Genomic DNA, 12,477 nt, shown 5'->3' with positions numbered 1-12,477 from the left:
GAAGACCCTCCTTGAGAAAGTGGGAAGCTTTCCTTAGCAGGCATTGAGACTTACAAAATTTCAGTAATTAAGATGTGTGAGGATGACAGACATGGAAATTTTTTTTTTTTTTTTGAAACAGAGTTTCGCTTTTGTTGCCCAGGCTGGAGTGCAATGGCACAATCTCAGCTCACCGCAACCTCCGCCTCCCAGGTTCAAGCAATTCTCCTGCCTCAGCCTCCCTAGTAGCTGGGATTATAGGTATGTGCCACCATGCCCAGCTAATTTTGTATTTTTAGTAGAGACAAGGTTTCTCCATGTCTGTCAGGCTGGTCTCAAACTCCCGACCTCAGGTAATCCACCCGCCTCGGCCTCCCAAAGTGCTGGGATTATAGGCGTGAGCCACCGCGCCCGGCCCTGGATGTGGAAAAATTGACCAGTGGAACAGAATAGCCCAGAAACTGAGCATCTATATGGAAATACTGATACATTTTTTCTTAACTGGGAGTACACATCAAAATCACCTGGAAATCTTTAAAAAAATTTACACCCAAATTTATGGAATAAGACACCTCCAGAGATGGTGCCCTTCCACACCCATTGTTAACCTGACCCACCTAAAAATATACAAGAAGACATCCCCAGGGATGGTGCCCTTAAGCACCCATCATTAGAGACCACTATTGAAATATTTCATGATCCAGAAAAATGGTCACAGTATAATTAGTCCTCAACGTCACTGATAAGTTCTAGGAAACCACGAGTATAAACAAAATGACGTAATGACACCAATTTTAACATAAGCTAGTTGATATAAACAGTTCCTTCGGCATATTTATGGTCATACAAACATCACCAAATTTTTTTTTTTTTGAGATGGAGTCTTGCTCTGTTGCTCAGGCTGGAGGGCAATGGCAAGATCTCAGCTCACTGCAACCTCTGCCTCCTGGGTTTAAGTGATTCTTCCTCCTCAGCCTCCCGAGTAACTGGGATTACAGGCGTCCGCCACCATGCCTGGCTAATTTTTTTGTATTTTTATAGAGATGGGGTTTCACTATGCTGTCCCGGCTGGTCTCAAACTCCTAGCCCCCAGTGATCTGCCTGCCTCGGCCTCCCAAAGTGCTGGGATTAGAGGTATGAGCCACCATGCCCGGCCAAAACATCAACAAACTTCTAAATAAAGACCAAAACACTTCTAGAATTAAACACTGAAATGAAAGCTATATATACATTTGAGAAAGATTAATAAAAACAAATGAGAAAGTTGCCCACTTATTCCATTTAAGAGTCACTGAGGGCCCACCTCTCCTGGCAGCTCAGGGTGCCAGGGAGGCACCAGGCCTGGACAGGAAACCATCCTGTCACTGGGTGTGCTCACAAACCCACACTCAGACTGGGATCACTTAGACACATCCATTCACCTCATGTACACAGCTTTAGGACATGGGAGGAAATGAGAATCCAAAGAAAACAGTCATGGGGATCTCACCAGTGGAACGTATCCATGTCTGTATGAATGAGGCTGCAGCCTCAATTCTTGCCACCTCAGAAGAAAGAATTTGAGGGCCGTACAGCAGAAGGAGAGACCAAGGCAAGTTTTAGAATAGGAGTGGAAAGGCAGGAAAGTACACTTGGAAGAGGGCCAAGTGGGTGACTTGAAAGAGTCAAGAGCGTGGCTTAACCTCTTGACTTGGGGTTTTATATGTTGGCCTACTTCTGCGGTCTTGTGTTACTTCTCTCAACTCCTGAGATCTTGTCAGGAAGTGGCTGATCACCAGTTTCATGTGTTTTCTATCGGGAGACTGCCTTTCTCTGATGCTGGCTGCGACCAATGACTACTTTAGAAAGACAGTTAACAACTGCCTTGACCATCACTGGATGGTCACAAGATGCTCCTGGTGTGTGTGTGGAGGGGGGAGCTCTCTCCTGCCCTGCTCATGCCTGACTAGGTACCCACTGTAACAGGGAGAACCTGCAAACTCCACACACACAGTGGCCCTGGCCAGGAAGCAATTCTTTTTTTCTCACCAACATTATGTCAAAATGACAATGAATGAAACAATGTTATGTAGGGACCTGCTGTATACTATGCAGTGAAAAGTTGACTTTTGAAACCACCTTCCAATCTAAAGATGGATTCACTTTTTGAGTGGCTGACCAAAGAATACCCTCACTTGAGGAAAGCCTTCAGCTCATTCTCAAAGAGGTTTAGTCCTAGCTTCAAAGCCTCAACAGGAAAACCACATTTGAAAAGAAGCAAATTTCATACAAGATACACTTAATAACAGTTCAGAAAGAGAAAAGCAGACTGACTTCCAGGAACTGATTTGAAACTCAGAGCTAGGCCTGGGTCATGCTAGAAGCTGGCCTGGTCCTCTGTGCTGGGCCGTGTTGTTCTTTTGCTATGAACAACCTTATAAAACACCAATATCAGATGTGGCCACTCTGACTACACTAAAGTGATATGAAACAAGACTGTAATTTTGCCCAGGCACAAAAACAAGATCACTGTGTAAACCATGTAACACCAAATATGCCCTGTCCCAGGTAATATGAGGGACTGTAGCTGCTTTCCCAGGTGCAGCTTGAGCCTAGCTCTAATCAGCCCTCCTTCAGGATAAGATGATACTGTGACGGTTAATATTAGTTGTCAACTTGATTGAAGGATGCCTAGATAGCTGGTAAAGTATTGTTTCTGAGTAGGTCTGTGAGGTTGTTGCCAGAGGAAATTAACATTTGAGTCGGTGGCCTGGGAGAGGAAGAGCCACCCTCAGTGTGGGTGGGCACCATGCAATTGGCTGCCAGCGCAGCTAGAACAAAGTGGGTGGAAGAAGGTGGGATAAGCTGGCTTGCTGAGTCTTCTGGCTTTCATCTTTCTCCTGTGCTGGATGCTTCCTTCCATTCCTCCTGCCCTTGGACATCAGACTCCAGGTTCTTCAGCCTTTGGACCCTTGGACTTACACCAATGGCTTGCCAGGAGCTCTCAGGCGCCCTTTGGCCACAGACTGAAGACTACACTGTTGGCTTCCCTACTTTTGAGGCTTTTGGACCCAGACTGAGCCATTCCTGGCTGAGCCTGCTGATGGCCTATTGTGCGACTTCACCTTGTGATCCTGTGAGTCAATTCTCCTTAATAAACTCCCTCCCTCCCTCACCTCCCTCCCTTCCTTTCTTTCTTTTGCTTTTTTTTTTTTTTTTTTTTGAGACGGGGTCACAGAGTCTCGCTCTGTCACCAGGCTAGAGTGCAGTGGCACCATCTTGGCTCACTGCAACCTCCGCCTCCTGGGTTCAAGTGATTCTCCTGCCTCAGCCTCCCAAGTAGCTGGGACTACAGATGCACGCCACCACGCCCAGCTAATTTTTGTATTTTTAGAAGAGACGGGGTTTCACCATGTTGGCCAGGCTGGTCTCGATCTCTTGACCTCGTGATCCACCCGCCTCGGCCTCACAAAGTGCTGGGATTACAGGTGTGAGCCACCAGGCCTGGACTTAAACTCCCTTCCATATATACATATGTTCTATTAGTTCTGTCCCTCTGGAGAACCCTGAATAGTACTGATACCCAAAGACTTGTCCCTACTTCCTGACAGTACCCAATCCAGAGTGAACCCGTACTTCCTTGGATCCTCCCCAAATCACCTAACCAAACCCCAAATCCTACCACCCTTTTACTGAGATGTGCTGCAGTTCCCAAAGGCACACCCATGATGTGCAATCTCCCTTCTTCCAAAGAACATTAAACCCAACTTGTTCAACTATAGGTGTGTTTCTGGAGGTTTCTGGCTGGAAGGCAACAACAGCATTGTCTCCTTCTACCAACATTAGTATTTTGCAGAGTAAACTTAGATCCAAGGAAGATTTGCCTAAGGTTATGCTACTAAATGAAAGTTGAGCCAAAGATATAGAAGCTGCAAATAACTTTCAGACAAGTAGAGAAAAAAGAAAAACAAATATCTATCTTAAGTTTGAGACAGTGCCTTAGGGTTACTGGGAACACATCAAGACTTAGGGTAAACTTAACATGAGGGAGTTTGGCGTATTGGTGTCTTTATTACTTCCTGTCTACATTCCCTTAGAATAGGTAGCTAGGCAGACTTGGGCAGGGCAGGAGAAAACCTCCCCCACCCCGCCCAGGAATGTCAAGCGACTATCAGGTGATGGTCAGGCAAGTTGTTAAACTATCTAAAATAATCATTCGTCTCAACTGGCGTCAGGGAAAGGCATTCTCCCAATAGATGGAAAATACTAGAATCTGGTGATCAGCAGCTTGTGGATAAGATTTTGGGAGAGTGGGCTCAAACATGCTCACTAAGAGGCAAAATGGTAGAGTTTAACTGGTATATGAGCTTCCTCTAGGAACAAGACTGGTAAGGGAGGAATGTCTCTAGTGAGTATGTGCACAACTTCAGTAAACACACTGCACATGCCACCCCTCCCAAGTGCCGGCAGGCCACTGAGCATGCCGACAGCCCACCCCAAGGGAAAAATCGGAAGAAGTAATGCAAGGCCTAGAACCGTACCAATGTATCAATCCCCAAATCAAGGGTCAGGTGGCACAGCTGAATCTCTCAAGTTGCCCACTTGGCCCTCTTCCAAGTGTACTTTACTTACTTTTATTCCTGCTCTAATACTTCTTAATAAACTCTCACTCCTGCTCAAAAACTTGCCTCGGTCTCTCACTCTGCCTTATGCTTCATTCCTTTGAGGAGGCAAGAAGTGAGTTGCTGCAGGCCAGTACGGATTTGCCACTGCGAACAATTTCATTCATCTGATGTTCTTGCTTGGCAACTTGAACTTTCTGAAGAGTTAGTATTTGTTTTAAGAATAAAACCACATTCAACATTTGCGTTCTAATTAACAAAAATTGAAGTATTTCCAAAGCAATTAGATTAACAGTGAGCACACACATAACGTTCCAAACTACTCAAGATCAGCAAATTCACTTATCTCACTCATTCAGATTCATATACTCATTTTTAAAAGTTGTCCTAGGCCCTACTGACTTCGTCAGCTTTCCCCAGTTTCCATTACTGAAACTTCTAAAGCCACTGCTGCTTAAGCCACCGTCAATTTTTAGTGTTATAGGAAAGCAGGAGAAACTGTGTTTAAGCATAGGAAAATAAGTAAGGAAATGATAATATTGCATTTATAAAAATACTGAGAGTTAAATGTCTAAAAGTAGAACAATAACTTTACATCTCATGAAAGACTCCACATCTAGACAAAAATTATCACAATTTTAATATACATATTAAAATTACAAGAATACATAACTGCTTAAACATGATGTAAACCTGAAAAGGACTAAATATTTTCAAAAATAACTTGTTTCAAGCAATTTTGTAGCTTACGTGAAGGACATTTTTTATCCCAACTTCTATTTTGAAAGAGTTAAAACCTACAGAAAAGTTGCAAAAATGGAAGAATGTGGTACACGCCTGTAGTCCCAAGCTACTCAGGAGGCTGGGACAGGAGGATCCCTTAAGCCCAGGAGTTTGAGGCCAGCCCTGGCAACATAGCAAGCAAGACTCCCCTCTTAGAAAAAGAATAATGGGCCAGGTGCAGTGGCTCACGCCTCTAATGCCAGCACTTTGCGAGGCCGAGGTGGGCAGATCACCTGAGGTCAGGAGTTTGAGACCAGCCTGGCCAACATGGCGAAACCTGTCTCTACTAAAAATACAAAAATTAGCCGGGCAGGATGGCAAGCACCTGTAATCCCAGATAATCGGGAGGCTGAGGCAGGAAAATCACTTGAACCTGGGAGGTGGAGGTTGCAGTAAGTGGAGATCATGCCACTGCACTCCAGCCTGGGCAACAAAGCAAGACTGTCTCAAAAAAAAAAAAAAGAAAAAGAATAATGAACAACTGTATATTCTTCATTTGGATTCCCCAGTTGGTAATATTTGGCCATATTTGCTTTATCTTTCTCTGCCAGTGTATAGTCATGCACTATCTTTCCTATGTTTAGATGCACAAATGCTTACTACTTGCTACAACTGCCTACAGTGTTCAGTAGAGTAAAATGCTATACAGGTTTGTAGCCTAGGAGCAATAGGCTGTACCATATAGCCTAGGTGTGTAGTAGGCTCTACCATTGAGGTTTGTGTAAGTGAAATCTATGATGTTCACACAATGACGAAATCGCCTAATAGCACATCGTTCAGGATGGATTCTCGTGGTTAAGCAACACATAACTGTATATATATAAATGCATTTTTTCCAGTCATCTGCAAGCTCATGATTCTTCACCCCCATATATTTCAGTATGTATTTCCTTAGAACAAAGGACAATCTTCTACATAACTACAATATAATTATCATGATCAGGAAACTTAATGTCAATATTACCATGTCATCTATAATTTATATGTTTCTCCAGTTGTCCCAATACTGTCTTTTAGAGTATTTTTTTAACCCAGGTTTTAATTAAGGATCTCATACAATATGTGTCACATATCTAGTCTCCTTTAATGTGATACTATTCCTATTTTAGCCATTTTTTGTTTTTCACCACACTGATGTTTTTAAAGAGTTCAGGTCAGTTGTTCTGTGGAATGTACCTCCATGTGGATTTGTCTCATTGTTTCCTTATAATTAGATTCAGGCCAGATGTTTTCAGCAGAAATTCTACGCAAGTGAGATTGTGTTGTCGCTGTAGCAAGGGGAGCGCATGACGTCAGTCTGTCCCTTTATTGGTGATGGGACACCATTACTTCATAATTTGGTGAAGTAATACCCGCAAGATTTATCCATTGTAAAGGTACCCTTTCCTCTTCATGAGACTTGGAGACTATGTCAATATTCTCTCATATATTTACGTGTTTTAATATATGTAAACCTTTCACTGAATGGTGTTAGAATCCACTCATTAGTGACATTTCCAATTAGAGAAAACACAGTACATCTATAAAGACCTACTGATGGTGATCTGCAGTGGGAAGTTGTGATACTTAACCTTTCTTAAATATGTAGAGGCAAACTGAATAGAAAACTGTGTACAAAAATGAACACTCTATACATGAGCATTTTTTTTTTTTTTTTTTTTGAGACGGAGTCTTGCTCTGTCACCCAGGCTGGAGTGCAGTGGCACGATCTCGGCTCACTGCAAGCTCCGCCTCCCAGGTTCACACCATTCTCCTGCCTCAGCCTCCCCAGCAGCTGGGACTACAGGCGCCCGCCACCACGCCCAGCTAATTTTTTTGTATTTTTAGTAGAGATGAGGTTTCACCGTGTTAGCCAGGATGGTCTCGATCTCCTGACCTCGTGATCCGCCCACCTCGGCCTCCCAAAGTGCTGGGATTACAGGCGTGAGCCACGGCGCCCGGCCTATACATGAGCATTTGTGAAGCTTGTCTAAGATTTGTACATTTGATTGCGTGGATATTTTGCCTTAAAAAGAACTGTAAATGAATAATGTGTGCTGATGTGTTCATGGGTGTAGAGTACTAAGGTCTGCATTAAAAAGATAAGATGGTTTGATGGAAGAACAGGTGGATAGCAATATAGCAAAATGTTAACAATTGGGTCGATATGTGTCCACTGTACAAGTCTTCCCACTTTTCTGTAAGTTTGTAAGTTTTCATAATACAAATTTGGATTTAAAAACACCCCAACATTGCAAGAGTGTCACCAAAGTGTTTGAAAAGCAGGATTCTAGGGGGGGCATTCGCTGACGACTCAGAGAAACCGTCCATGCCACCCACCACCCCTACGCACTCAAAAGAAGCCCTCGCTAGGCAGCCCGGCCCTCCGAGCCCTGGTATCGAGGGGCTCTCCGCCTCTCCCCTGCCGCGGCCGCCTCCTGCTTGCCCGGCCTCAGTCTGTTCTCAGAACATACTCCATCACCTGGTTCCCAGAACTCAGATTGCGCAGTGGTCTCGTCATCATCGGCCAGGACTCACAGTGCCCGCGGCAGAGGCCTCCCTAGACCTCCCTCCCGTCCAGCCTCACCCGCTGCCTACTCTCCTCACGCCCCTGCTCCAGGTCCCCTGGCCCCATTTCGCTCGCCACGTTTTCATAATCCTCTCAGGCTCCGGGCAAGCGGCGCCGCCCGCAATGGGACCTGATCATATAAGGAAAATACTGCGGGCTCATCCGGGGGCTGCAATGGGGACCCGAAAGCGCCCTAGCCTACTACAATCACCGCACCCCAACTGCCGCCCACCTCTCTGCCCTGCCCCCAGTACAGTACCCAAAACCGGTCCGGGTCCAGCTCGGCGGCCCAAGCCTCTGCCCAGCGGACTGCGCACCCGCCCGCCCCAGCCAATCCCGCCGCCGCCGCCGCGCCCCGCCCACAGGACGTTCGGTCCCGCCCCCAGCTGGCGGCCGCGGCCGCCCGCGCGCCAAGTTCCTCAGCCCTTGGCTCCTGCCCAGTGTTTAGGGTGTTGGCGGAGACAAAGGGGAAGAGTCATCGCCTGTCGGGGCTAGGATATGATGGGTGAGAGGTGTCAAACCAAATTCTCTCGGTTTGGAAACGGAGAAAATCTAAAAATGAGGATGTGAGGAAAGAGTCCGCTCTCAAGGCGCGTTGTGGTCTATCCGAGCCCCGTCCCCTGGGCTCCCTCGGGCTGGGGTGAGGCGGGCAGCGCTACGCGTGGGGTAGGACCATCTTACGCTGGGACCCCGCCAAGGAGCCCCAGGAAGTAGGTGAAAGGGCAGGGGCGTGGCTCTCGGGGCGCCACCCACGCTCTTGAAATCTGGGTGATTGCGAGCGGCCGCTCAGCGTCCCCCACACCACAGACCCGCGCCGCCGACGACCCAGCAGCCGCCATGGCTCTGCTCCGAGGTGAGCGCAGCCCCCTCCTCCTCTCCTCGCCCCTCGGGGTCCTGCCCTCCCCAGGCCAGGCCTCCGCTTCCGGCCGCCGCGGAGAGTCGGGGTCGTGGGGTGAAGTTCACTCAACCTCCTCGGTTTTGGAGCGGACGTGATAAAAACCCAGCCCGAAAGGCTTGTTTGGGTTAAGGAGAAAACCCTTACTTGTAAGGCGCTAGCGACAGCGATTTCGGTGCAATTTCCTGTTTAGTTGAGACCAAAGTTTGCTTGCATGTGACCTTGGAGGTCATTCCTTTCTTCGCCTAACAGTGACCCCACTAGTTCGAGTCCAAGTATTAGAAAAAATGGGGCGGCGCCATAGGCCGCGGGCGCCTGCTGCGGGGCAGCTGCGCACAGGAGCCCGCCGCTCGGCCTCGGTGGTCAGGGCTCCCCGGGTGAATCGATGGAGAGGCCTGCAGAAATGGTAGCTGGTGTTCTGCTGGAAGACCTGCCCTGCTCCCATTTCCCTTCTGTTGCTTTAGATTAGAGCGGTCACTCTATACCTAAGTTCTAGGGTTATGAACTTGTTTAAAACAACTGTGTAATAAACTCCCTTTTCAAAACAAGTGGGCACAGTCAATGGAATCTTACTTTAAGGATGTACGAGTCGAAGAACATTGAGGTGGAATACATATCGAGGCCCTGAGACAGGAAAAAGCTTGGCAGGATCTAAGAACCAAGCATTTTGGTGCTCCAGGGCCCTGTGGGCTCTGTAAGAAGGTGGGGTTTTGTTCCAAATTCAGTGGAAGGCAATACAGGGATTTAAAGCGGGGTAATGACAGGATCTGATTTCCACTCTGTCCGAATTTGGGGCGGTCTGTGTAATGGCGAAGAGACCATTTAAGGATCTATTGTAGAGGTCCAGGGAGCAGCAAATGATGGCTTTGACTCGTGTGGGGCAGTGTAATTGGGGAGAAAAGGGGAGGGATGAGTTGAGATAGATTTGGAGGTGGATTTGATAGAAAGTGGATTGGATGTGGTGGAGTAAATATAAGAAGGAAATGTCGAGAATGATGAAAAGTGTCTGGTTTGATGAACCGTGTTCATGATGATGCCACTTTACAGAGTGAGGAAAATTGGGAAAGGAATAGATGTGGAAAGAAGGATTGAGAATTCAGTTTTAGGCAGAAAACTTTTTGGTGCCTGTGAAGCAGCCAAGTGGAGATGCCAGCTAAGCATTGGTTAGGGGGATCTGAAAGTGAGAAGAACCAAAGTGGCATGGGAACAAATCAAGGGAAAAATCCGTATTCTGGGACCAAATGCAGTGTTTACAGTTTCCTGCAACGTGGATTTCATTTGCCAGTGCCCTTCCTGACTGAATTTACTACATTTACTTCATAAAGCAGCGTGGTGAATTTTTTTTAGACGAGGCATTTACACTTCATTTAAAAGGTGCATTGTCATGAGCTATCTTCTAAAAAAGGAAATAATATTTTTACTGATATCATTTTAATATTTTATCAGTGGTTCTTACCCTTTCTTATAATACAGACCTGTTTGAAAATTTCACAAATACTATAAACCCAAAAAGGAAAAAAATGCACATTGACACCTGTATTAAGGAAGTATAAAGTTTATAAATTTCTGGTACAATTTACTGTAGTGTTAGAGCTAGTGATCGTATTTTTTTCCATTTCCTTATTGTAGCAATTAGGAGGACACTCATGTCGAGAGAGGTAAAGTGGTTGTGTATAATAACACAGGTAGTTAGTGGCTGTGACTAGAACCCAAGCTTTGAGCTTGAAATAGTGATGTTACAGGCCAGCTAGAATCATTAAAGATAAACTTCTCTCAAGCAGCATACCAAGTGTTTGCAGGATGGGTGGGAAGAAAGAAGAGCATGTGACTGATTATAGGGAAAAGGACACATTTGAGTTAAATTTTGTTAAGGATTAACATTAATTTGTCAGATTTCAGTCAACAAGAAGAACCGGCTCCTAGGTTTTTATTAGCACCCATCCCAGTACTTGGCAGGAGGTTTTCGCTCGACAGATCATAGCTCTCCTACTGCTCCTAGCTTTGTTGGGAATGTTTGTGTATTTTTTCAAGGCAAGTAGACAGGGCTGCTAAATTACCTTAATCTTGAAACAACTGGATGCCACCGCAGCTTTCCTTAATTTGCCCTCGTTGCTGCCTGAAGTTGCTCTAAGTGAATATTTACCTAACAATGTGATAGAAAGGTAGTGCTCCTGTTTCTTTCCTAGTGGTGCTTTTCCTGTATTGTCAACTCAGCACATCTTTCCAGGGCCTTTCTTGGAGCTACTTGGACTCACTACACTCTGGGTTAATAGGTCTCTTCACTGTCTTTCAGTTTTGGGAAATTTTTAGCCTCTGAATTTTCAGGGTGTTCAAATGAGATTTCAGTTTGGTGTTAAAGATTGTTAAGTTTTAGACCTTTTAGTATCCACGTAAAATTGACATCAAATGAAAATTGACATGGTATACAATTTATGAAATTAAAAAAAAAAAACTTTAAACCTTTATAGTCTATCTGCACATCCCAGATTATTTGTTAAAATGAAGATTTAAAATAATAATAACAAATTATTTTTTAAAATAGAGAAACCCAGTCTCTACAAAAAATACAAAAATTAGCCAAGCATGGTGGCACTCGCCTGTAGTCCCAGCTACTCGGGAGGCTGTGGTGGAGGATTGCTTGAGCCCAGGAGGTTGAGGCTGCAGTGAGCCAAGATCACACTACCGCACTTCAGCCTGGGTGACAGAGTGAAACCCTGCCTCCAAACAAACAAACAAAAAAAACCCAAACCAAAAATATATGATTGAGAACATTTTCTCTGTTCAAAATAATTGTTTTAGTTCAGTTAAGGTCTTACTTGAGCTAACCTTTACAGTCTGGGAGCATCAAATAAGAAGTAATATAGGTAAAGGGGAGGTTTTTTTTTGTTTTTATTTTCCCATGCACACCCTTTCCTTTGTAGATATTGCATATTTCACTACTAGCACTGCCCTATCAAATGCTTTCTTAGAATATGAGACATAGGGGAGAAGTTCATAAAAGGAACTTTGTAGAGAGACAAATGAAATTAGGCTCTATTGTTTCTGAGAAGTGAGGGGTCATTTCCATGTGTGCAATATGTCATTTTTATTTCTGGATGCTTTATATATTTTTGTTATCTTTGGATTTCAAAAGTTTGACAATGATGTGCCAAGCTGCAGGAGAACGGGGTGTGGAGTGTTACGTGTGGTGTTTATTAGAGTTGAGGTTTACCAAGCTTTAATATACAAATTTATGTTTTTTATCAAATTTGGAAATTTCTTCTTTATTATTTCTGCAAATGTTTTTTTAAATCCATTCTCTGTCCTCTCCTATGACTGTAACTTGTTAGTCCTTGAGGTTCTGCCCGTGTTTTTTTACTATCCGACTTTAAAGAAAAAATTTACAAACTTTGTTTTTGAGCAGATTTAGGTTTTACAAAAAAATTGAGCAGAAAGTACGGAGTATTACCATGTGCTCCCTTGCCCGGTCCGTTTCCCCTATTATTAACATTTTGCATTAGTGTGGTACATTTGTTACAATTGATGAGCTAACATTGATATATTATTATTCACTGAAGTTCATATTTTGCATTCAAGTTCATTCATTGTATTGTATAGTTCTATGGGTTTTGACAAATGTGCAAATGACCGATGTCAGTATTATAGTGTCATGCAGATTAATTTCACCACCC

At 44.6% G+C, this 12,477-nt stretch overlaps 1 protein-coding gene, 1 long non-coding RNA gene and 1 other non-coding gene across 3 annotated transcripts in view, besides 4 other annotated features; 1 reads left to right on the top strand and 2 right to left on the bottom strand.

The window, feature by feature from the left end:
* SNHG22 (small nucleolar RNA host gene 22) overlaps nucleotides 1-8,210 on the bottom strand; it is a 37,037-nt gene extending 28,827 nt beyond the window's left edge. The window contains exon 1 of the long non-coding RNA NR_117096.1: nucleotides 8,171-8,210. This is a non-coding gene — a long non-coding RNA (small nucleolar RNA host gene 22). The remainder of the gene's footprint in view (nucleotides 1-8,170) is intronic.
* SCARNA17 (small Cajal body-specific RNA 17) lies at nucleotides 7,790-8,210 on the bottom strand. The gene has a single exon (NR_003003.2).
* Nucleotides 8,188-8,357: a silencer, noted in NCBI's record as "silent region_9451". NCBI's record gives its function as "represses an Ori minimal core promoter by ATAC-STARR-seq in GM12878 lymphoblastoid cells {active_cell/tissue: GM12878}" and the evidence as "EXISTENCE:reporter gene assay evidence [ECO:0000049][PMID:35858748]".
* Nucleotides 8,600-8,894: a silencer, noted in NCBI's record as "tiled region #2051; K562 Repressive non-DNase unmatched - State 1:Tss". NCBI's record gives its function as "represses a minimal TATA promoter and a strong SV40 promoter by Sharpr-MPRA in K562 cells {active_cell/tissue: K562}" and the evidence as "EXISTENCE:reporter gene assay evidence [ECO:0000049][PMID:27701403]".
* Nucleotides 8,600-8,907: a biological region, named in NCBI's record as "Sharpr-MPRA regulatory region 2051".
* ACAA2 (acetyl-CoA acyltransferase 2) overlaps nucleotides 8,700-12,477 on the top strand; it is a 31,370-nt gene continuing 27,592 nt past the window's right edge. The window contains exon 1 of the mRNA NM_006111.3: nucleotides 8,700-8,764. Within this exon, the coding sequence (NP_006102.2) occupies nucleotides 8,749-8,764 (16 nt within the window). The 5' untranslated portion in view covers nucleotides 8,700-8,748. The remainder of the gene's footprint in view (nucleotides 8,765-12,477) is intronic.
* Nucleotides 8,788-8,907: a silencer, noted in NCBI's record as "silent region_9450". NCBI's record gives its function as "represses an Ori minimal core promoter by ATAC-STARR-seq in GM12878 lymphoblastoid cells {active_cell/tissue: GM12878}" and the evidence as "EXISTENCE:reporter gene assay evidence [ECO:0000049][PMID:35858748]".

The sequence above is a fragment of the Homo sapiens genome, chromosome 18 (genome assembly GCF_000001405.40).
Source record: "Homo sapiens chromosome 18, GRCh38.p14 Primary Assembly".
NCBI lineage: Eukaryota > Metazoa > Chordata > Mammalia > Primates > Hominidae > Homo > Homo sapiens.
Note: the sequence above shows the minus strand (reverse complement) of the source record. Positions and strands in the feature narration are given on the sequence as shown.